Source organism: Homo sapiens, chromosome 3 (genome assembly GCF_000001405.40).
Source record: "Homo sapiens chromosome 3, GRCh38.p14 Primary Assembly".
Taxonomy (NCBI): Eukaryota; Metazoa; Chordata; class Mammalia; order Primates; family Hominidae; genus Homo; species Homo sapiens.
Window position 1 is genome coordinate 8,835,408 of NC_000003.12, and position 25,838 is coordinate 8,861,245.

General features: G+C 45.5%; 1 long non-coding RNA gene across 3 annotated transcripts; it reads right to left on the reverse strand.

Annotated features, from left to right (window-relative positions):
• Positions 1-25,838, reverse strand: LOC107984112 (uncharacterized). Of its 3 annotated transcripts, none has more exons than XR_001740594.2 (3): positions 18,905-25,838; positions 17,472-17,541; positions 1-6,132 (listed from the first exon to the last, which is right to left on the reverse strand). It is a non-coding gene; the product is annotated as an uncharacterized LOC107984112 (long non-coding RNA). The 3 variants fall into 3 exon arrangements; XR_001740593.2 differs by having other exon boundaries at positions 1-4,890; positions 5,965-6,132; positions 17,472-25,838; XR_007095814.1 differs by having other exon boundaries at positions 1-4,890; positions 17,472-25,838.

Below are 25,838 nucleotides of genomic sequence, written 5' to 3' on the forward strand. Positions count from 1 at the left end.
TTGCTGCACCGAAAGATGGCATTTATTAATAGGATATTGCACTGGTCTCTGAATCTATCAGAATAATGGAGAACCACGCTCAAAAAGTAGTCAGGAAACTAGGAGGCCAGGTGGCAAAACACTCCCCAGGTGGGGCCACTGAAATAGCTGGGTTAGATCACTTATGCTGGCACAGCTGCTGCTAGAGACCTGTGCTGAGCCTTCTGCTTACCCGCTGCTCCTGCATGAATCACATATAACCACTGAATTTCTCACGTGGCCCTTGTCCCTGTGAGACTCCCTTAAGATTCAAAGTTCAAGTTGGGAGCATCTGGTTGGCCAAGCATAGGTCCCATATGGCCAAGAGGCCAGGGGCTGAGAAAAGGGAATGTCTGGCCCCCTTAGCCCTCTGAAGAGGGAGACAGGACTGTGCCTGTCGCCAACAAAGGATTCCTGAAAAACGGGAGTTTGGAAAGCTGGGAGCCACAAAACAACACACATCTATTAGCAATTCCAGCACAAATCTAGAATATCTTGGTTCTATGTTTCACTTGATTCCCTTAGTTCTGTATGAAGGAACAAAGTGACAAGTAATATCTGGTTATTTAGAGAGATGGTTCCTGCTCTCAAGGGGATTTTAGTCTAATCAGAGAAACAGACACATAGGTAGTCTAACTCCCTGCATCTCGTAGTGGAGTGGGAGGACAAAGGCTGCAGGTGAAGTCCCAAGCAGCCTTTCCGAATCTCAAGCAAATCCAAAAGAGCTAGAAGGTGTCTGTAAGCAAAAAGCCTTCTGGAAATTCCAGAGGAAAAACACCAAGTGGGAGGGTACAAGGGCAAGGTAACAAATGCAAGAGAGCCAGGGGTCAGGAATTAGACAGGACCTGGAGGGAAGTCAGAGCAAGTCAGAACGCAGCAAGAAAGGTCTGGGGCAAGAAGACAGTGAGTGGGTATTGACCACTTGCTTTTATGGTCTGTTGGTTGCATGATTATGAGCGTGTCCAGCTGGCTTAAAGGAGTAGAGTCAATACAGACTTAAAACAATATTTGGTACCCATGGCATGCCCCTTTGATTGGCATGGTTTGACCAGGTTTATCCACTTGCTTCAAACTTGGCCATCCAGATTTTCTTTCCCAGGATCTAGAAGTGGGACACTGATAGGATCAAGAACCTCAACTAATACCATAAGTATATGTGTTCTTATCTAGAACACATTCTTATAAAGATGGGTGACATCTTGTCAAGCACTTGTGAGGATCTCTCCAACCTAAATTTTAAGAAACTAAGCTATATGATTTTGATAACAAAAATATTTTTCTTTTTCTTTTCTTTTTTTTTTAAACAGGGTCTCTTTCTGTCTCCCAGGCTGGAGTACCATGGCACGATCACAGCTCACTGCAGCCTTGACCTCCCCGGCTCAATCAATCCACTTGCCTCAGCCTCCTGAGTAGCTGGCACGTGCCACTATGCCCTGCTCATTTTTGTATTTTTTGTAGAGACAAGGTTTTGCCATGTTGCCCAGGCTGGAAAAAATCATTTTTTAAGATCCAAACGCCTGGATCTTTCTTAACTCAAAATGTGACATCTATGGTATGAATGTCAGATAACAGCAAACCTTTACATTACCATGGCACTCTCTGGACTGTGGTGTTTTGGTGTTTTGACCCTCTCAGCAGCCCTGTGAGGATCAGGGATTATCTTTCCATTATGAAGCTGCTGAAAATGAGGTTAAGGAATAGGAAGCCACTTGCCCAAAGGCACAGTGAGCACAGCATATGGTAGACTTTATGAAATGACAACAAATTCTTCCCATCTATATGCACATCCCTTTGATGGGACTTTGCCGTTCCTCTCATTAAGATGAGGAGTCTATAGCTTTCCATTCTTTGAATCTGGGCTCAGCCATGTGATATACTCTGCCCCATAGGACATTAGCAAGTGTGACTCAGGCAGAAGTTTTGAAAGTGCTGACACATTGAGGTTTGCCCTCTCTTGAGCTGGGAACGTGGAGATCACATAGGGAGAAGCCCAGGTTAGCTCCCTGGAGCATGAGAGGCCACGTGGAGAGAAAGATGCAGCCATCCCAGCTGCTGTCTGTTTTAAATGTTGGCTGTATTATTACTCAGGGATGATGAGGGTATCAGATCAGGAGATGACTGCCATTGGAAAAAAATGGCTTGTTACCCACAGATCCTAAAAGATGGAGCATCCCACATTGCAGGGGACCAAATGGGGAAGCACCAGGGTCCATCCAGGGGCAGAGGGAGTGAGAGGAAAATGGGGCAAGAACCTCTATTTTGGTTTCCTGGGAAGGAACAGGTGAGGAAGGGTAAGCAGGTTTAAGATGGGCTAGTTTGGATAATTTCATTTGGCTCTGAGGTATAAGGGCTGTCTCTAGTTGTCTGGTACTTGGCTGTAAGGTGATTGGGGTAGGAAAATAATGGCACAGGGTATCAGAGCTCTGTAACAGAGTGGCTGGGGCTATGGGCTCTGTCTTGTTCAGTTTGCATATGGAAGGGAGAGTCATTTACCATCTGTAGGAATTGGCTCACCCTAGACGGACCAGTCTCTCCAGGGTCAGGAAGACCCCAAGATGTCAAATAATCAAAAATACAGAAAATAAAAAGGCATGATGAATACACTGTCCCAGCTGAGGACTCAGACATGTGAGTGAGGGACTCCAGACCATCCAGTCCCAGCCAAACCAGTGAGGACCAGAAACACCATCCAACCAACCTGCAGAATGGTGAGAAATAAATCATTGATGTTTCAAGCCACTGAGTTTGGGAGTGGTCTGTTACACAGCAAAGATGGATGCAGAAGATGACCCAAAACTGGCCTCTGACTGGTCCCAGGCATGTTCCATCTCCCTCCTGGTGGAGTGAGGGGTGAAAGTAGGACAATTTTGGGGTGGCGAGAAGGTATTACCAAGTCACAGCCTATTCTGTCAGGTGACAGACAGATGGGGAGGGAAGTCTCTGCACGCAGAATCCCAGCCCTCTGAAAGCTTAGGGGAAACAGCTGTCCCCCAGCCTCAAAATAGCTGCTCATTACTACTGGCTGATGCTATGCATGGTGATGACAGTGGCAATGGGGTTACACAGGGACAAATGTGTCTCACTCCTCAGGATGCTGGCTGCCGAGTCGCTGAAAACAAAACCAATTTTTCCAGGAGGGCCAAGGGTCACAAAAACAGGTAGGCAAGTATGTATGGGCTCAGGAGACACACCCAAGCCAAGAAGGCATTCCCATTTGTTTTTCTTTTTCAGACAGGTTCTTGCTTTGTCGCCTAGACTGGAGTGCAGTGATGTGGTCATGGCTCACTGTAGCCTTGACCTCCTGACCTCAAGCGATCCTCCCACCTCAGCCTTCCAAGTAGCTGGGACTAGAGGCATGTGGCTAATTTTCTATTTTTTGTAGAGACAGGGTCTCACTATGTTGCCCCAGGCTGGTCTTGAACTCCTGGGCTTAGGCAATCCTCTGCCTTGGCATCTCAGAGTGCTGGGATTATAGGCGTGAGCCACTGCATCCAGCCAACATCCCCTTTCCTGCTTGGAGCTGTCCCAGCCTACACTTGGCTGTCTGCTGTGCAGGATCCAGGAAGCGAGAGCAGCAGGACATACACATAAACTTAGTAAGGGTTACCTATGACCTCCACAGTCGGAGTGGGCCAGGAGATGGGAAGGAGAGGCCCATGAAGTGGGGGTCAACAGGATGCAATCAAGGAGGTGCCAGGTTAATGAACACCCAGGTTTGAAGTTCCAGCTGTACTTGTGTATGTAACCCAAAGCAAGTCAGATTTAACCTCTCTGAGCCTCAGTTTCCACATCTGCAGAATGGGGATTAGGATGAACCTCTCTTCATCCTACTTCACATGTTGGTTGTTTCCATTAAGATGGTGATGATGATGATGATCAATTGCTACCATATAAAGAAGGCTTAGTTTAGACACCACACCAAGTACTTCCAATGAATTGTCACAGGTGGCTTATTATTATTTCCATTTTCCAAGTGAGGAAAACAAATATTAGATAGGTTAAATGACTTTCCCAAAGTCACACAGCTAGTACAAGGTAGAGGCAGGATTTGAACCAGGAATATCTGATTCTAAATCTCAATGTCACTGCAAGTGGTTGGTTCTAGTCCCACCCAGCATTTGCAGGGAGTAACTGGGTAATCACGAGTCCCCCAGTGGTGGCTAGGGCACCAGGATCAGCCAACACTCACAGCCTGGCAACCAATGCCAAGGAATCGCCCTGGGGTTGCTTCCTTAGGTGGAAATGTGGAAATGGCAGACACTTAAGACTTCCCTGAATGCTTTTTACCTCATACCTATCTTTAACATTGGTCAGCACCCGTGATCCCCATCATCTCAGCATGGCAACCAGTAAGGAGGGACGCCAGAGCATCTCTGGAGTCGGGCAGCACCAGGAAACGGGAAGGAGCTAAGTTTGCGTCATTGAGGAGCTCAGCCAACATTTGACACAGATTCCAGGTCCCACCCACTATTCCAGGCTGCCCATATTTTTTCTTGGAGGCAAGGTGTGTAGAGGGACACTGAAGAAATATTTTTGAGTAAAAGGACTGAACAGAGGTTGGTGCTTTGTCTTCTCTGTCGGAGACAGATGGACTACATGGCTTTTCATTTTGTCCCCTGGATGCCTGGAGATAACGGACACCCGATTCACTCACTATCCACTCTTGGGTGACTCATGGTCCTATTGTTTCAGGCCAACCTGTGTACATTCAGGGACAAATCCAGTCATGGACAACCAACTGTGGCTCAGAAGAGCTAGGAAAACCCCCACCTGAAAGTGTCTCTCCAGCTGAAAGTGTCTGGTCACAGCAGCAAAATCCCTCTGGCAGTTGTTCAGTCTTGGAGTTTAAAAGGCTTTCAAATGTAAAGTCCTCTGAAGAAAAAAAAAAAAAAAAGCAAGAAAAGCAACACCTTTAGGGATTTTCATTACACCAGAAGCTAGGTTCATGGTGCCCTTGGTATCTCAGGATACCCTTAGGCCAAAAGAAATACCTAACAATTCCATTTATCAAGTAGTTATGTATAAGCAACTTAATAAATGTGTCCTTATTAACAGAAAATAATATACATAAGTTAAAAGAAAAATATTATTTTATTTCACTCCTAAAGAGACACAATTACTTCCTAACAAAACATGTGTCTCTGTTGGGCACTGCAGAATTCTCAAGCCCTGCAATCAGATTGGACACTGCCACCCTCAACTCCTGTCCCACGCTGATTTTCAGTAGTACTTTTTTTCATCCTTGTAATCACTGAAAACCTAGCTTTGCAAAGATATGACATAATCTGAAGGAATGTAGAGTGATCTGTTTACCCCTGTCACGTGGGGTTGGATAGACGTCAGGCATTGCTTTGCTTCCCTCAAAAATTTAAAATACCTCGCCGGACTCCTGTGAGTTCACAACAGCACCCTGGGCACCTCAGCATAGCTAGGAACTGCAAAGTTATGCATTGGTAGGTGCCAGCCAGCAGCAGGCAAAATGCAAGGGCCTTTAAAAATACAATATGGGGTAGGGACCTGTGGAACAGGGCAGGAGAAGGGCTGCTTGTGGGAGTAAGCAGGGGGCAAGGGAGTGAGGGGATTATTGTGTAGACGAGGCTAGAAAAGACTAAATGTCATTTAACCTGAGGTTCTTTTCTCCATTGGGAAAAGGTATCTAATCATAGCTATTCTGTCCACCTTAAGGATTATCATGCATTCAAATGGACTACAGGTTTGGAAACACCTTGCGAATGGTATCAAGCTTGAGCTTGAGCTTGATATAAATGCTGGATATTGCGGCTAATGTGTTTCCTTCTCATCAGAGGTTATTGCAGAGACCCTTTCCCACAAATACTCTGTACTCCCAGCACCTTGCCACTGCAGAGGAAATGTGGCCAATTCCAAATGATGCTCAAAGCTTATTTTGTTTCCTTTAGATAACATCCTGCTGGTTACTGATCATACCTGTTGATGAATTCCAAAAGAGCAGTTGCTATCTCAAAGGCAAGCAAGGTCATGGAGGGCAGGAAAAGCACAACCCTGAATGCAGAACGAGCACCACCAGGGTCTTGAAACCTTACAAACAACTTCATAAATCCTGCACTGGGCTTCCTTATTGACCACACAGGCTTCCTATCAAACATGAATGAAGAGGAGGTGGACTGTATTACAAAATTAATAATGTAAGATGGTGGCTGCCAAAGCCATTCATAATCGTAATTGCTTTTGCATGTGTTTTCTTGAAAGCAACTTCATATTTGTCAGCAACTAGGAATGAAGGCGCTTCCTTTGATACTTATATGTACAGGCACAAAATAGAGTTGAACTTTGCTGCACACAATAAATGTGTTGTGAAAATACGTGTTTGAAGTCTAATAAACAGACTTTTATTTTGCCCATGTTAAACACAGAAGAGAATGTCTTCTTTAATGGGAATGGGAACAATCTTGCACTCTTTTGCCCTTTTTGCTCTTTTCTTAGTTTAGATGTTCATAGATAATTGCCTAAAGTACTCAGGTCACACAGAATCTCAAACCAAAGGAAACATGACATGATCTCTATTGTCAACATAAGATTTTTGTAGTTGCAGAGGTACTGGAAAGGGAAAATAGATGCAGCCCATAAGAGGTATATAGTTCCAAACTGCATTATGTCACTGAAAAATCTGCTTATTCGATTTACAGTTAGGCTAATTAGAGGGTTCCAGGAGAAAAGAGGGAGCTGAGATCCCTGACTCGGGAGAACAAAAGGGGCATGAATGAAAGAGCAGTTTCCTGTGAACACAAAATAGTCTCCGAGCATGAACTTCTGGCGGCACTTCTAAAGAACAATGAGAGCATCACCTGAGCTAAGAGATAACAGAATTCTCTAGTGCTCCTTGTAACAGATTCCAGGTCACAGAAGAGAAATCAGAACTCAGTCTCCCCAGGATCTGAAGTCAGACACATCAGAGTTTGAATCCCATGTGGCCTTAGGCAAGTTGCTTTCTATCTTTGTGCCTCAGTTTTCTCATCTGTAAAATGGGGACAATAATACCTTACAAGGCGTTATGTTCCAATGCAGTAATGTAGGATGTAGAGTTTCACAACAGTGAAACCTATATATGAATACCTGTTTTCCTTCCTGGCTCTAGGCCCAAAAGGTCACAGATTAGTGAGCTGCCTCTGGCCAGTGATCCTTATACTCCCTGCTGTCAGACATTCTCTTACCCAGTGGTTCTCCAACTTTCATGTGTACCTGAATCCCCTGGAGAGCAGATAAAGAACTCAGAGGCCTCGGCTCATTGATGTAGGAGAGAGAGGCTTGGCCTGCCTGTTTTCACCAAATTCCCCCAGATGAGTCCAATACAGCCCAAAGATAGAGAACACTGTCTGATATGGTTTAGCTCTGTGTCCCCACCCAAATCTCACCTTGAATTGTAATAATCCCCGCGTGTCGAGTGTGGGACCAGGGGGAGATAATTGAACCATGGGGGTGGTTTCCCCCATGCTGTTCTCGTGATAGTGAGTGAGTTCTCATGAGATCTGATGGTTTTATAAGGGGCCTCCCCCTTCGTTTGGCTCTCATTCTCTCTCCTGCCACCCTGTGAAGAGGTACCTTCTGCCATGATTGTAAGTTCCCTGAGGCCTCCCCAGTCATGCAGAACTGTGAATCAATTAAAGCTCTTTTCTTTATAAATTACTCACACTTGGGCAGTTCTTTATAGCAGCATGAGAATGGACTAATCACTGTCCAAATGTGTTTATAGCCCAGGAGAATATTCAGCGAGAGAAGAATTTTACATAGACCTATTATACAAGTTAGTTCAGGGGTTCTTAATCTTGGCTGTGCACTGTACTCACCCGAGGAGTTTTTGGCCCTACTGAGGCCCAGGGCCCACCACCACAGGACCTATTACATCAGGTTCTGTGGTAGTGGGTCCTGGGCCTCAGTAGCGCCAAAAACTCCTGGGGTCAGCTGAGCATCTGGATTTCTGAGAACTCCCAAGATGCTGTAACGTGCAGCGAAGTGTGAGAAGCCCTTAGCTAGATCCAAGTGAGGTCCCCGGTGGCCTCTCCTTACCCCTCCCACCTCTTCTCTTCTGTGCCCCAGGTGGCCCCTGAGTCATTACAACCAAACCCAAAGGACTTCAAGACAGTGTACAAACGAACTGACCCCAGTGTTTGTCCAAAATGTCCTGCCAAGCTGGTTCAACTCAGAACGCTGTTTAGCTCCAGCTGAGTAGGGCCAGCAGCACGGAGGTGAGCACAGCATGTCTGCAACATATTCTGGGCACAGTCTACCTCCAGCATTGTACTCCAGTCCCCTAGGGCCCAGCCGTCAGTGACTGTCCTTCTACTGGAATGCAGACTTCAAGAGGGTAGGTCTTTTGTCTGTTTTGCTCAGAACCATATCTCCAATATGTAGAATAATACCTGGCACTTAGTAGATGCTCAGTAAATATTCATTGAATATAATGAATGGATGAGTGAATGTGAGTAGAAATTGGTCATGGGCTTGTTGTAGTTTTTCCAGAAATGCTTACATCTCTATGAGGGCATTTTTGTGAAGAGCAAAAAACTCTAAAGCCCCCAAGAGATAGAATTTCAGGCACCTGATAGGTGGCTGGCAAGGGAGATTCCTTAGGGCTAGGAAACCTCAACAGTTCTCAATTCATACTAGGTGTGATATACACAGGGACCGTACCTACACCATCTTGCTGAAGTTAGTCAAGCTGTGTTCTTCAGAGCCCTGTGGCTTCCACCAAGATGCCTGAAGGATCTCCATGGAGAGAAGGGTCTTCGTGGAGAGGGTGGGTTAAATGGGCAGGATACCCTGCCCCCAAAACTAGCATCAACCAAGAGCACTCCATGGTTATCCATTTTACATATTCCATGTCCAGGTCTTTCCATTGAAAAAATGGACTTTGCTTTTTTCAAAAAAATACTTTGAAACAACCTAACTAGATCATTTTGCTAAACAAATAAATCTTGATACTTCCTTTATCAAGGGGGAGGGCTTGTCTCCAGCTGCTGGGAAGAAGAGGAGCTGACACCTAGGGTGTCATCCAGAAGGATGCTTCCCTTTGGTGCCACATATCCCTTCAGAATCTATGCAGCCCATGAAGGGACGGACCTGAGACCTCTCTCCATCCACCCCAGACTCCTGCAACCTCATCAGTTCCTGCTCTTGTCAATCCAGATATGAAGCTTTGGGAATAAGAAATAGGATGTCATCACTCCTCAGCTCAGAAGTAAAACTGCCCAAAGCTTAGCCATTAAAAAAGAAAGTCATGAAAGAAATGCCCACGCAACCCTGCAGATAAGGTCCTAGCCCACGGAGGTCTTGCAATCTGCATTCTTGCAGTTATGAATTCTTGTTTGTCCTGACAGGACAGCAATAGGTAACTTATGCTTTGAATGTTTGTATCCCCTCCAAAATTCATGTTAAAACTTAATCTCCAATGCAACAGTATTAAGAGGTGGGGCCATTAGGAGATGATTAGGTCATGAGGACTCTTCCCTTGTGAACGGGATTAAGGCCCTTATAAGAGGCTTCACACAGCCCTCATCCCCTTTTATCCCTTCTACCTTTCACCATGTGAGAACACAGTCTTCGTCCTCTCCAGAGGATGCAACAAAAAGACGTCGTGTTGGAAGCAGAGAGCTTCCTTCACCAGATAACAAACCTGACAGCACCTTGACCTAGGGCTTCCACAACTGAGAGGAATAAATGTCTATTGCGCATAGAAATTTTGTGTTTTCTATGGTATTTTGTTACAGCAGCACAAACTGACTAAGACAATCATATGCCAAGAAAATCCTTACTTGACCTTCAAATATGTGGATCCTGGGTAGTAGTGATAATAGCCAATACTTTATAAACTGCTTTCTCCATTGGACTGTAAGCTTGTTAAGAACAAGAAAGAATTCTGATTTATCTTTTTATTCACAGAGGCTAACACATAGTAAGTGGCCCAAAAATTGCTGTTGCTACACTCAATTTCATACATATTCTGTCACTTAACATTCTCAACAATTCTATGATAGAGGTATTTCCACCAACGTCATTTTATAGTTATACAAATTGAAAATCAGAAAAGGTAGCCCAAAATTACAATTATCCTGAGATGGCTCCAATAATAGAATTAGAATCTTAATCCAGGTCCTCTTAGCCTAAATCTTATAGTCTTACAAGAGCCTAAGGGCTGTGAACTGAGTCTGAATGGAGCCTATCCAAAAGTTGGGTCCACTAAAGAAAAACAGGAGGGCAAGTCTGCAGCCTAGGTCTGGAGTAAGTGTTCCTCATCTCAGAAGACTAAGGAGGATTATCTCCTATGGCTTTTGGCCCTTCAGGATGAAGCGCTTTCCTAGGGCATCTTAGGGACCCAGCATCCTGTGTCTTTCCATGTCTCTGGCTCTGAGTCACACTTGTCAGCTCATTCCCAATGATCAGACTGTTTGTGCCCTGACTCACTTGGGACAACAGAAAAAAATAGCAACTTGGCTGACCTGCTTTGTTCCCCATCCTTTCATATCAATGACAAATGGGACATTTATGGTAAAACCCTGGGGAAGTGTCTCAGAGTTTGGTGTCTCACTTTTGCTAAGGTGAGAAATCCTACTGTCCAGGAAGAAGTTCCAGGTCTCAGCACCCCAAATGCCAAGAAAGTGAGGTTTTTCTAATAATAGGCTTTATAGCTACAGCCTACAATAGGCTTTAATGTTTATCAACAGGAGAGAAAGTTGATTCGGTTGGGTAACATTTGCCTGCCACATTTACAGGCACTGCATGCCGACGCAATGGTGTCCAGTGGAAGGAGGGAACATCTCTTCCAACATGTTTCTTTTTACAAGGATAAAAGCTTTTCCCAGAAGTCCCCCTCATGTCCCTTGGCAGACTAGCAACACATGCAGATGCCTAAACCAATCTCCAGCAAGGGGAATGGAACCACCATGATGGGCTCAGACCAGTCAGGACTTGCCCCTGGAGCTGGGGATGGGCTCACTCATTCCTGAATTCTTGCTCCCAGTGGAGAGATGGGCAACAAAACAAAAGAGAAGGGGGAGGAGAGAAACAACAGTTCCCTAAACTACTACCAGTGTTTTTACAAAGTTAGATTATTCCATTCCATCTATTTGCTGATCCTATTATGCAAGTATTAAAATTATTATAAAAACATTGTGGCAACATGGATAGTCTTTTAATTTAATAAGATAAAAAAATTAAGAGACAAAAATGTATGCGTGCTAGAATTGCAGCATACAAATATACTTGTATGTGGATAACAGTGGAAGATCAGGATGAAATTAATTCATTGATGCATCAGATGAAGTGATTAAGACTGACTTTATTTTTCAATTTCCCAAAATTCTGTAATGTTAAATAATTAATGATTGTAATAATGTGAGTAATTAAAAATAAACAAGATCTCCATTGGCTGCATTTAAGCGTGGTCGAGATATTGACATGCAAACAGAGTACACAAATATTCAAGGCTCCTCTGAGAGCCAGGTCCTGCGTGGGAGGAAATGATTTCTCAAGGTGAAATTCTGAGCATCCAGATACCTCTAAATAAAAGTAAGTTTGTCTTTTAACCACAGTGTATTTTTTTTAAGTGCTTGATGAATTTAAAGTAAATGTGAAGGGTATGTTAGCTGGCCCAACATTAAATATAGGCTCCTTGATTTACCCAGAATTCACTCTTGGAGGTCCCAGAGGGAACTGGAAAATATAGGTGGTTATCTTCCAGAAAAGATAGATGGTTATCTTCCAACTAAAACTAAGCTACAATGACAGGCTTGTGTGCTGTTCACTGGAAGAGACAGAGGGCTTTCAAAAGTCAACATGAAACCTAAAGTCTCAAAGGCAGACACTTTGCCTGTAGGTGTTGGTTGCTAACAGAGCAGCTCCTCACTTGGCCAGCTCTGTGTAGCAAGACCTCGGGCTGAGTAGCGGCAGATTTTAATACATTAAGTGGTAGTTAATAATTCTCCTGTGCAATTCCAGCTGGTCTTAGAAAAAAAGGAATTTGTCTAAAATAGAGAGGTTCCCAGTTGATTGCCCCGATCTGGACATAGGCTAGAAAACATTTGAGGGCAGAAGAAGATGGCCGACTGTCCCACTAGCAGGGATCCATTTTGAGGAGGGACGTTCACACTCAGTAAAAGTCCCGGGTGTGTGATACTCCTCTGAATGTCCTCTCTCGGTTTCCTTTGTTTAGGGTATGATGCTCTCAGCTGCATGTAATAGACAACCCCATCTCAAAATAACATTAAAGACATATATTATTTAACATATGAATTCCAGAGCCAGATGGGCAAATTCAGCTGCTCAATGCCATCTTCAAGGACGTGAATTCTCTCCATCTTTGTGCTCTGCCATCTTTAGTCTGAGGCTCTGCCCTTGGACTCACTCCCTTCAAGGTGGTAAGATGGTTGCCCCCTTGGCAGCATCACATCCAGACACAATGATGTCCAGAAAAAGAACAGACTTTCCATCCTTGAGTTTGTCTCCTTTTGACAATAAGGAAGCCTTTCCCAGAAGCCCACTAGAACACTTCTCACATCTCCATGACCATAGTTCTACTGAATGGTCATGCCTAAACCAGTTACTGCCAAAGGGAATGAAATTGCCATGCTGTCATGAAGGGCATGACCGTGTGAAGGGTAGATTAACCAAATGGAAGCAGAGTTCTATCAGAAAGGCAGAGGGGAATATATGGTATTAATGAAAGCATTGCTACACCTAGGTACCCCATACCTTGACATTACTCCCTTCCCCTACAACAAAAACCACATCCCTTACCTCTACCACTTCTAGATCTTTAGCACTTACCCCAACTGAATGACAGTCTCTTTTTAATGAGCCTGTTTTCCAGTCTATGCAGGCAGAAGAAATTCTCGTTAGGTGGGTCTTACTTGGGGAACATCACCACGTCTGTGAAGCTCACTGGGAACTCCTTCCTCAGTCAGGACCCCATCCTGTCCTGTGTCCCATATCACTGTCACACTTGCCATTGTCAGTCTCCTCTTTTAGTCAATTGTGTGTTTTTCATCTTCCCAAAACAAGACTGTGAGCTTCTATGGGACAGCCAATATGCCCAGTTCCTGTTCCAGTTCCCAGCATCTGGCTCTCTAGCTAGCACCCGATAGGTGCTCTGTATTTGTTTACTTGAAACCACCAGAGTTTTTTACACCAAGTGAGATCCAAGTACCCATCTAGCACACCCAACAAACAGTTTAAGGAAACATGAAATGTGTGCCTAGCTAGGTGGGAGGCTGTGCACTCCATTTGCCTTCTAGTTTCAAGCATGCGCAGAAAGAATCTGCATCCTTGACATGTTACTGAGCAGCACCATGGGTCACGTGGGCCACAGTGAGCATCCCCTGCAGCGTTTCCCCCAGTCCTCCCACTGGAAGAGGGCCAGAGTCATCCGACAGCAAATGTCCCAGAAACATATAGAGCATGCAGGAAAGGGGCCCATTCCTTAGCACTGACTTCATCTTTAAAACTAAGTATAAACCAGTTCCTGTTCACTCCTACTTAGTAAGAGCTGTCCTAACAGTATTCAGGATGCCCAGATCCTTTGCTTTAGAACTCCTCTCTCTTCTTGCACAGCCAGATGCATGTGAAGACAGCTCTCTTGCCTCCCTGTCTCTGCTTCTGCACTAAAGCCTGTAACACCTCCATGGTTCTCCACGTGACAGCAGGATCCTCTCAGTCTCCTGGCTGACCTCACTCATTCAAAAACGTTCTAGCTTGTCAACATTCTACAAATATAAGTGTTAAAGAAAACCAGAGCCAGACAGTAATTAGAGCCATAAAAGCAGATTTTACTCAGGAACTATTTCAATAGGAGAAATGAGCCCTCAGGACTCTTAGAACTCTTGAACCTTAGAACTGGACTCCATTCCAAATACAGCAAGGACAAGTGAGGATTTACAGCCCAGGAGTGGTCGTGGCGGGACGGTCAGTGAAAGGAAACATCAGGGGTAGGAGTGGATTCTGGCTAAACCTACTCAACATCTCACTGAAGGTAGGCCAGGATGATCAGATTCTGAGGGTGAAGGATAAAGAATTTGATCAGATACCAAGTATGAGGAATTCTCACTAAACTGACTTAGTAAGATTTCTGAAATTTTGTTTTTAATTGACAAACAATAATTGTATATATTTATAGGGTACAGTGTGGTGTTTTTATCTTTATTTATTTATTTTTTTTGAGACAGGATCTCGCTCTGTCACCCAGCTGCAGTGCAGCAGCACAATCTCAGCTCACTGCTGCCTCGATCTCTTGGGCCCCAGTGATCCTCCCACCTCAGTCACTCATGTAGCTGGGACCACAGGCGTGTGCCACCACAACCAGCATTTTTTTTTTTCCTTTGGAGAGATGGGGTCTTCCTATGTGGGTCAAGCTTGATGTTTTGATATATGTTTACATTGCAGAATGATTCCATCAAGCTAATTAACATATCCATCACCTCACATACTTAACATTTTTTGGGTTATGAAATTACTTAAAATCTACTCATTTAGCTTTTTTTTTTTTTTTTTGAGACAGTCTCACTATGTCACCCATGCTGGAGTGCAGTGGCATGATCATAGCTCACTCTAACTTCAGACTCCTGGGCTCAAGTGATCCTCTCACCTCAGCACCCTGAGTAGCTAGGACTACAGGCATGAGCCACCATACCTGGCTAACTTTTTTTTTTTTTTTTGGTAGAGCTGGGGGTCTTGCTATGTTGCCCAGGCTGGTCTCAAACTCCTGGCCTCAAGCAATCCTCCTGCCTTGGCCTTCTTGTAGCAATTTTGAAATACACAATACATTATTATTAACTATAGTCACTACTCTGTGTAATAGATCAGCAAAACTCATTTCTCTTATCTCACTGAAACTGCACACCCCTTGATCAATATCTCCCCATTCCTCAACCACCCACTCTTCCATCCTCTGGTGACCAATATTCTACTCTCTGCTTTTATGAGTTCAACTTTTCTAGGTTCCACATATAAACAGGGTCTTGCAGTATTTGTGTTTCTGTGACTGGCTTATTTCACTTAGCATAGTGTCTTCCAGGTTCATCCATGCTGTTGAAAACAACAGGATTGATTTCCTTCTCTCTTAAGCCTGAATAGTATATTCCATTGTGCATATATGCCACACTTTCCCTCCCTCCCTCCCTCCCTTCCTTCCTTCCTTTCTTCCTTCCTTCTCTTTCTTTCTTTCTCTTTCTTTCTTTTTGAGACAGAGTCTTGCTCTGTCGCCCAGGCTGGAGTGCTGTGGCCTCGGCTCACTGCAACCTCTGCCTCCTGGGTTCAAGCGATTCTCCTGCCTCAGCCTCCTGAGTATCTGATATTACAGGCACATGCCACCACACCTGGCTAATTTGTTATTTTTAGTAGAGATGGGGTTTCACCATGTGGCTCAAGCTGGTCTCAAACTCCTGACCTCGTGATCTGCCCACCTCAGCCTCCCAAAGTGCTGGGATTACAGGCATGAGCCACCACGCCCAGCCGCGCTTTTTTTTAACCATTCAAGGCAATATAGAGACAAACGCAAAAGCACAAATGTCCAGGCCTAGTTGAGAAGCAGGTTCAGAGGAGCCGGACTAAAGTTTGGTTCAAGAAGAGAGCATCTTTGTCAAAGGCAGCAGAACCAGATGCTTTAGGGATAATGTATAACCAAAACAGAAAAGAGGGAGACTTCCCTTTCCCTGGTTAGGTACTAAAGTAGCTCCAAATTGCATATTTCCAAAAAACTACCTAAATGGCTACTTATCTTGAGCTTTCCAGTTTGAAAAGAGCATGGAGTTTGAAGTCAGACAGATATGGGGTCAAATCCCAGCTCAGCCACTGATTAGCTCGTTGTGTGACCTTGTGCAGATCAAGTCCCCTCTCTGAGCTCCCGAGTCCTCATCTCTAAAATGGCAATCATGAAATTGATCTCACAGAGTTGCTATGAAGACTCAATTAAAAGAGAATGTCTACAAAGAACCAAGCATAAAATATGAGCTTCATCAAGAAGATTCACAACTCCTATTACCAGTAAAAAATGTAAAGCCCTAAGTAGTTTTCACACATAGGGCTCCTCTGCCCTGTACCAACAGCACGTATGGGGAGTGCAGGAGTCACAGAATGGCAGAGGTGGAACTGCTCTCAGGTATTAACTGAGCCCAGGGCTTCTCACCCCAGCTCAATCATCTAGGGTAGCTTCCGGATAACATCACCTCCCAGGTCCAACCATAGGCCAATTAAATCAGGATCTCTGGGGACAAAGTGCAGATGTCTGTGTTTTCCAAAATACAGGAATGAGTTCTGTTTGTTATGTAGATGGAGAGAGTATAGAAAGTTTTCATCCCCAGTGTTCCCTGGGTCCTTTCTCAGTCTCCTCTGGGTTCTGAGGTGCGGCACACTCCAAACCCTAACCTCAGGAAGCTCACAGTCTGGTTAGAAATTCCAGCACGCTCCTAAAAATAGAACCAGTAGTCCCAGGCATGATGTTCATTCAGCAAACATCTGTGGTATGAAATTCAGCCCACATGGAAGCACTGAGGCCATGCACAGCCCTAGCTCGAGGCCATGCACAGCCCTAGCTCAAGGCCAGCAGGAGAAGGGACAAAAGCAAGATACCAGAATAAGATAAGATAGGTCTTTGGAATTGAAGCGTTTCCAAATGTGAAACTGACAGACACCCTAGAGGTCCTGGGCTCCAGATCCTTCATTTAAAGGGTACAAAAATTTGATTCCTAGAGGAAGTAACTGACATGCCCCATCTGCATAGCATGTTACTAGACAAAGTAGGACCTAGGGGGTCCTGAACTCTGCTCCAGAGACCTTCACTGAAACCCACTGCCCATGAACAACAAGAGCCAGCTGCTTTCATTCAGGGGTGTTGGAGGAAAGCACCATGAAGGAGGTGGGCAAGGACTGGGCTCTGGGGGAAGGACATAAGCAAAGGCATGGGTGCAGAACTCCCTTTGCACCTGGTTATCCAAGCGCCCTAATTCCTCACACCAGCCCTGTCAATTCTTCCACCCCGCCCTCCGCCACCTTCCCTGGCACAAGGCTCCTTCTTGCTGAAGTATTCACAGCTGGAGCCCTGGATTCTGGAGGGCACCTCAGCTGGGATTTCTACATTGCATTTTCAGGACTGTCCCACTGGGCCCCTCTGGGGGAAAGAGCAGGATGAGAGAAGACAGCCTCTGCACCAGAGAGGTCACCAAGCTAATTGGGCAGGTGCCCGGTGCCTCCCTTCCTTTCTGGAGCAGCTCTTCCAGGATCCTCTACAGAGACTCTTGTGGGGGTGGCATGAACAGCTCATTTGTTAGTAGCAGCAGCAACCAAGGCTGAGGGTGACATAGCATGGGATCTGAGACAGCGGAGGGAGGCAAAACGTGCCTTCCGTCACCACAGATACCCTCTGCCTGCTTATATCTGAGCCTGCCCTCCAGCCCCCACCCTGCTCCTTGGCTCCTCCTGAAGCCCCTTACCTGTCTCCATTTGTATCTATCCTTCCACTCGCAGGGGACCATGGGTCCTGGGCGTGCCATATGCCAGGTGCTGGAGATACAGAGAAAACAACAAGGTGGGATCCTTTGCCCTCCAGTAATCATGAATAAGTCAGAGAAAGAGATTTAATGAATATATATAAAAGACAAACAGCAGGCCAGGCCCTATGCTAAGCCCTTTTGTTTTTTTTTCAACTCACAGTGCTGAGAGGTAACGGGGTTTGTGCTGGACAGAATTCTAAGGTAGCCCCAAGATTCCCAGCTCCCGATGCACATGCTCTGTAAAATCTCCTCCCATTGGGTCCTCCCCAGCGGTCAGGCCCTGGGAACATGATGGGGAGTCACTTCCCTGACTGGGTTGTGTTATGTAAGACTCTGTCCTAGCAGGCTGGAGAGAGATTCTCCTGCTGGCTTTGCAGATGTGAGTAGCCGTGCTGGAAGAGGCCCACATGGCTAGGACTTGAGCATGGCCTCTAGGGGCTGAGATCAACCTCCAGCTGAGAGCCAGCAAGAATACAGGGACTCTGCCCCATAGACAAAAGGAACTGAATTCTGCCCACATCCCGAATGAGCTCAGAGGAGGACCCTATCCTCTAGATCACCATGGGGCCCCAGCCAACGCCTTGATGTTGCTTTGTGAGACCCTGAACGGGCAATCCAGCTCTGCTGTGCCCAGACTCTGAACTATAGAAACTGCGAAATAATAAAGGATTGTGAAACCACTGTGTTTGTGGCAATTTGTTATGCAGCAACAGAAAAATAATTCGGGGTGCTATTCAAAATATCCAAGAACTGGCAAGAAATGGGAACCAACCCATCAAAGAACACACAGGCAGTAAACAACTGTGGTGTGGGCAGAACATCAGTCTTGCAGGATGGTTTTGCCATTTTATAGATGTGAAAACTGACGTTCAGTGGAAATTGACTAGCCCGAGGCTTCATAGCTAATAGGAGGCAGAGGCAGATTCATTCCCAGGCCTTCTGGAAAGCAGTTCAGTGTAGCAGCTAAGAGGATAGGCTTTGGTAAAGCTGATGGAGGGCTTTGAATGCCACCCTTAGGGATGTGGACTTGATTTTCTAGGTAATGGCAAGGCACTAATAAAAGTCAGTAACATGCCAGGGTAGAATAGAATGATAAGATTGGCAGTGTGTGGAGGAAGACAGCTACGTGTGAGTTAGGAAAGAGTTCAGTCAGAGAAGCGGAACTGTTATGAGTGATACAGAATAAGGCATTTGACAAAAGGATTAGGCCTTATGCAATTGTAAGACCCGGTTAAGAAGACTATGTAGGGGAGGCTTCAGTGGGAGAATCACTTGAGGCCAGGAGTTCAAAACTACCCTGGGCAACATGGCAAGACCTCATCTCTAAAAACAAATGTAAAGAAGAGAAGTCTGGGCAAAACTGTGGTCCTTACTTCTGGTGTTGGGCCTGTAGGCATTACAGGTTGGCCAGGCTGGCAATCAGGAGGGAAATCAAGGTGTGAGGTGGAGGAGAGTAAGACAAACAGGGACCCAATAGGTGCCCTGCAACCCGAGAGGACAATTGTGGCTGAGCCCACAAGCTGCCCACTGGCTGGAGCCACAGCTGTCTTGAACTACATCCAACCTGGACGATACAAGAGACACTGGAGCACTTCACCACGGAGCTGCGCTCGCATCTGGCCCAGGACTAGGTGAAGTCTGAGTAGCAGGGCTGGAGGGAGCTGCAGGAGATATGGGCTTGGGTGCTGCCCATGTCAATGAGGCCAGGCAGCAGGACCGCAACAGCCATGACCAGTCACAGTGTTTGGCATCTTACGCTGGGCTTCAGAGCTTGAAAATTGCTGTTTCTTCATTTCACCTTCCGAATCTCATGTATATTCCTCTTTATAGCCAACCCTAAATGGAAGCATATTGGGAAGGCAACTGTGGGAAATGTAGCTCCCACTTAGCTAAGTTGACTCAGCCCCAATCAACTTCCATCTCAACAAAGAAAAAAGTCTGAAGCCAAGGGAATGACCTACCAGGGCTGGAATTTTGAAGTACAAAGTTTCTGTGGAAGGCCTTTTGTGGAGGATTTACAAAGACGTTGTGCCCCTTGGGATCTTGATCCCAAAACTGCCCACTCTTCACCCTGTCACATGCTGCCTCCTTACAGCCCCCCATCTCTGGCAGTGCCTAGAGTCCTTGGCTGTGGCCATAACGTTTCAGCAATCACAGTTTGCCATTCTGCTCGCAGATTTTAGAGTCTCCCTTGGCTGGTACCTTCCTCCCTTCTTCCACTCACACATTTTCTAAATGACCCCAAAAAGGTCACTCTGCAATCCTGATTGTCTAATCAGTGCTGGATCCCTCTGTAGTGTCCCCGATACATGCTCAGTTTGTTTGCCACCATTGATGGTGAACTCACTACCTGTTAAAGCTGCCTGCCTACTCCATTTTTGAATGGTGGAAATAGAAAGATATTGTTTATACTGAGGTGAAATACATCTCCCTGTAGCTGCCACCTATGGATCCAAATTTTACCATGAGGTGTAGTAAAAAAAGAAAAAAAAATCTAATTCCCCACATGTGGCAGTTAAAAAATTGGAATCAGAAAAACCTGAGCTCAGATGTTAGCCCTGCCACCCCTAGCTCTCTGAGTTAGCTCTGCCCATTCACTTCAGCATCCATTGGGGGATCCTGCCCATGGGAATTCATACTGTGGTAGAGTAACCGTGATTTTCCACTTCCCTGTGCTTCGATTTCCACATCTGTAAAATGGGGCCTTTGAGAATTTTTTTAAGCACATAATACACTTAGCACTATGCCTGGCACAAACTTAGAGCCCAGTAAGTACTAGCTTTTATTACTCAAACATAACAATGTCTCTAAGAACAGTCTTTCTAGGTTAAATATTTCCAGTTTATGTCATGGTCCTTAGCCCCCTCATCATTCCGGATTCCAAGTGCAGAGCATACACTCGGTGGGCCACAGTCTATCGAATGGGACTTGCCTTGCCTGCCCCATCCTAGCTGTACCAATTCCTGCCTCCCATCCGAGCAGTACCAATTTCCTGCAGGGCCTGACCCCAGTGACTGGAAGCCAGGAGTTCAAGACTAGCCTGGGCAACATGGCAAGACCTCATCTCTAAAAACAAATCTTTAAAGACTCAGAAGCTGGGAGCACCATGCAGCAGGAACTAGCTGTGCTGTTGCATCTAGTGGGAACAGGGAGGTGTCCGGGAAAGCTGAGAATAACTGTCCTGGGACTGAGCATGAGAGATGGCAGCAGCTGGTGCGGGTCTGGGTGGGGGCTCCAACCTGCACCTGCAGTAATGTGGACACATGCAGTAACGTGGACGTCTGCAGTAACGCAGATGCACGCCTTGGCCCCTCCCTCCCCAGCCCCATGCCCACTGCTCACCTCAGACTGGCAGAAACAGCTGAGGGAGATGTTCCTTCAGAATTAAAAATTCCTGGCCTGGTGCCGGGGATGTGTGTGTGCGTGTGTGTGGGGGGGTGCACGCGCATGTATATGGTGTTGGCTAGCTGACCATGGTGTTCCTAGAAGTGAAATAGATAGGAAGCCAACCAAATTCTTACTTGATGTGTACAAGTGGAAAATTCTAGGTTAAGTGAACAAAAATCTAACGTGAATTGTAGAAGCAGAGAGTCATAGCCCCTCAATCAATTCCCAGACTTGAGCCAGCCTACAGCCTCGAAACCCCTTGGATAAAGGGGAAGATGGGCCCCGTTGAGGAACCACTCTGGTGTACTACCCGAAATTTATCCTGTTAATGTTCCCCTAGCCTTCCCCAAAGGGACCTACATATAGCCTTTTACAGCATTAACTATGCATTGAGAAAAAAGAAATAATCAGAACTTTCAGGCACTAGTAGACACTGGCTCTGAACTCTCACTGATTCCAGGAGACCCAAAATGTCACTGTGGTCCAGGAGTTAGAGGAGAGGCTTGTGGAGGTCAGCTGATCCATGGAGTTTTAGTTCAATTCCATCTCACAGTGAGTCCAGTGGGTCCCTGAACTCATCCTGTGGTTGCTTCTCCTTTTCTGGAATGCAAAATTCGAATAGACATACTTGGTAACTGGCAGAATCCCCACATTAGTTCCCTGACCTGTGGAATGAGAACTATTATGTTGAGAAAAGTCAAGTAGAAGCCAGCAGGACTGCCTCTACTTAGGAAAATAGTAAACCAAGAGCCATACCTTGACAGAGTGTAGAGACTGATGCCACCATCAAGGACATAAAGGACACGGGGTGGTGATTCCTACCACATCTGCATTCAATTCACTTATTATTTGGCCTGTGCAGAAGGCAGATAGATCTTGGAGAATGACAGTGGATTATTGTAAGCAGGTAATAACTCTAATTGCAGCTGCTGTATCAGGTGTGGTTTCATTTCTTGAGCAAATTACCACAGCCCCTGGTACCTGGTATGTAGCTATTGATCTGGCAAATGCCTTCTCTCCACCCCTGTTAATAAGACCCACCAGAAGCAGTTTGCTTTCAGCTGGCAAGGCCAGAAATGTACCTTCGGTTATTTTGCAGCAGGGATACAGTAACTCTCCAGCCCTATGTCCATTAGTTAGCTTGCAGGGATCTCGTTTGCCTTTCCCTTCCACAAGGTACCACACTGATCCATTACACCAATGACATTATGCTAGTGAGCAAGAAGTAGCAACTACTCTAGACTTATTAGTAAAACATTTGTGTGTCAGAGGGTGGAAAACAAATCTGATTAAAATTCATAGGCCTCTACCTCAGTGAAATTTCTAGCATCCAGTGGTATGGGGTATGTCAAAATAGCCCTTCTAGGTGAAGGATATGATTTTGCATCTGGCCATTTCTACAACCAAAATAAGCCCAATGGGCTTCTTTGGATTTTGGAGGCAACATATTCTTCATTTGGGTGTGTTTCTCCCCTTTACTGAGTAACTCCCAAAGCTGCTAGTTTTGAGTGAAGCCCAGAATAAGATAAGGTTCTGCAATAGGTCCAGGCTGCTGTGCAAGCTGCTCTGCCCCTTGCGCCACATGACCCAGCAGATCCAGTGGCGCTTAAAGTGTCAGTGGCAGGTAGCGATGCTGCTTGGAGGCTTTGGCAGGCCCCTATAGGTGAATCACAGTGGAGAGTATAAGATTTCATGGCAAGAGCCTGCTGTCATTTGCAGATAACTACTCCCCTTCTGAGAAACAGCTCTTGGCCTACTAGCGGGCCTCAGCAGAGACTGAACGCTTGACATGGGCCATGACATTATCATGCAACTTGAGCTGCCTGTCATAAGCTGGGTGTTATCTGACCCACCACACCATAAAGTTGGGTGGACAAAGCAAGACTCCATCATCAAATGGAAGTGGTGTATCTGTGATCAGGCCCGAGCAGGTTCCGAAGGCACAAGTAAGTTACATGAAGAAGTGACCCAAATGCCCACGGTTCCTAACCCTGCTATGTTGCCTTCTCTCTCCCAGCCTGCACCTGTGGCTTCATGGGGAGTTCCCCAGATCAGCTGACAGAGGATGAGAAGACTCAGGCCTGGTTTACAGAGGGTTCTGCAGGATATGCAGGCACGACCCAAAAGTGGATGCTGTAGCACTGTAGCCCCTTTCTAGGACATCCCTGAAGGACTGTGGTGAAGGAAATCTTCCCAGTGGGCAGAACTTCAGCCAGTGCACCTGGTCGTGCACTTTGCTTGGCAGGACCGATGGCCAGACATGTGATAATATACTGATTCATGGGCTGTAGCCGATGATTTGGCTGGATGATCAGGGACTTGGAAAGAACATGATGGGAAAACTGGTGACAAGGAAATCTGGGGAAGAGGTATATGGATAAACCTCTCTGAATGTGCAAAAGATTAAGAGATTTGTGTCCCATGTGAATGCTCACCAAAGGGTGATATCAGCAGAGGCAAATTTTAATAATCAAGTGAATAGGGTGACTCATTCTATAGATATTAGTCAACTTTTTTTTTTTTTTTTTTTTTTGATACAGGGTCTCACTCTGTCACCCAGGCTGGAGTGCAATGGTGTGATCTCGGCTCACTGCAACCTCCACTTCCTGGGTTCAAGCAATTCTCTCGCCTCAGTCTCCCAAGTAGCTGGGATTACAGGTGCATGCCACCACACCCAGCTAATTTTTTTGCACTTTTTGGTAGTGACAGAGTCTCACCATGTTGGCCAAGCTGGTCTCGAACTCCTGACCTCAAGTGATCCGCCTGCCTCAGCCTCCCACAGTGCTAGGATTACAGGCATGAGCCACTGCGCCCGGCTTAGTCAACCTCTTTTTTCAGATAACTCTGTCACTGCCCAATGGGCTCATTAAATAAACAGCCCTCATGGAAGGGATGAAGGCTATACATGGACCCAGCAACATGGACTTCCACTCTCCAAGGCTGATCTGGCTATGGACACCACTGAGTGTCCAATCTGACAGGAGCAGAAACCAACACTGAATTCCCAGTATGGCACAGTTCCCTGGAGGTGATCAGCCAGCTACCTAGAGGCAGGTTGATTACATTGGACCACTTCTATCATGGAAGGGGCAGCGTTTTGTTCTTGGTGGAATAGACATTTACTCTGGTTATGGGTTTGCCTTCCTTGCACACAACACTTTTGCTGAAACTACCACCCATGGAATTACAGAATGCTTATCCACTGTCATGGTATTCTACATAGCATTTGCTTCTGTCCAAGGAACTCACTTCACAGCAAAAGAAGTACAGCACTGGGCCTGCGTTCATGGAATTTACTGAAGTTACCATATTCCCCACCATCCTAAAGCAGGTGGCATATGTAGAACAGTGTGATGGCCTTTTGCAGACTAATTTACAGCATCAGCTACGTTGCAATACCTTATAGGGTGGGGGCAAGGTTCTCCAGAAGCCTGTATAGCTCTGAGTCTGCATCCAGCATATGGTGCTCTTTCTCCCATAGCTAGGATTCAAGGATCCAGAAACCAAGAGGTGGAAATGGGGGTGGCACCACTCACTATTACCCTTAGCAATCCACTAGCAAAGGTTTTACTTCCTGTACCTGTGACTTTATACTCTACTCTCCTAGAAGTTTTAGTTTCAGAGGGAGAATGCTTCCACCAGGAATCACAACAATGATTCCACTGAATTGGAAGTTAAGACTGCCACCTTGCCACTTTGGGCCCGTCATGCCCATGAATGAACAGGTGAGGAGGGAGGTATAGTGATAGTTGGGATGGTTGTTCCAGACTATCAAGGACAAATTGGACTACTACTCCACAATGGAGGTAAAGAAGACTGTCTGGAATACAGGAGATCCCTTACGGCGTGTTTTAGTATTACCATGCCCTGTGATTAAGGTCAATGAATAACTACAACAACCCAATCCAGGCAGGGCTATGAACAGCCTAGATTCTTCAGGAATGAAGAGTTGGGTCACTCTCCCAGGTAAATACATATGACCAACTGGGATGCTTGCTGAAGGCAAAGAGAATTCAGAGAGAGTAGTGGAAGAAGGTAGTTATAAATACCTGCTACGGCCCTGTGACCAGTTACAGACACAAGAATTGTAATTATCATGAGTACTTCCTCCTTCCTTTGTTATGAATATGTGTGCATTATATTTATTATTTATATTAATTAATTATATATAAATAGCTTTGTTTTATTTCTTCTCTTATTCCCTTAGCATGCAACGTAAGAAATTTTGACTAAATATCATAGTATTTAAGCATTGTTAATTTTACATCATAGTATTTTTAGTTAGGTAATATCAAGGAAAAAGATATCAAGGATTTTACCTTATTTCTAGGAAAGGGGCTAGTGTATTTTTTATTGAATGCAGGAGAGTTGCATCACGTTAGGTGGAATTATGAACTTGTTCTTGTCTTTATCTGGAGATTAAGTATGGTTTAAGGAGGTGCTTATGGGTGCCAAGTTGACAAAGGATAGATTCATGCAGGTTCATTTTATGTGTCAACTCTACTGGGCCAGATACCTGGTTACATATTATTTCTAGGTGTATCTGTTAAGGTGTCTCTGGAAGAGATTAACATTTGACTTGGTAAACTGAGTAAAGCAGATTGCTCTCCCCAGTATGGGTGGACATCATCCAATCTGTTCAGACCTCAAATACAACAAAAGGGTGGAGGAGAGTTGAATTCTATCTCTACCCAGTGGTGAGAGCTGAGACATTGGTCTTTTCCTGCCCTTGGCCTGGGACTTACATCATCAGCTCCCCTGGTTCTCAGATCTTCAGGCTCAGCCTGGAATTTATAACACCAGCTTTCCTGAGTCTCCAGCTTGCAAATGGTAGATTACGGGACTTCTCAGCCCCCATAATCAAGCAAGCCAATTCCTTATAATGAATCTCAGCATCTAACTATCTATCTGTCTGTCTGT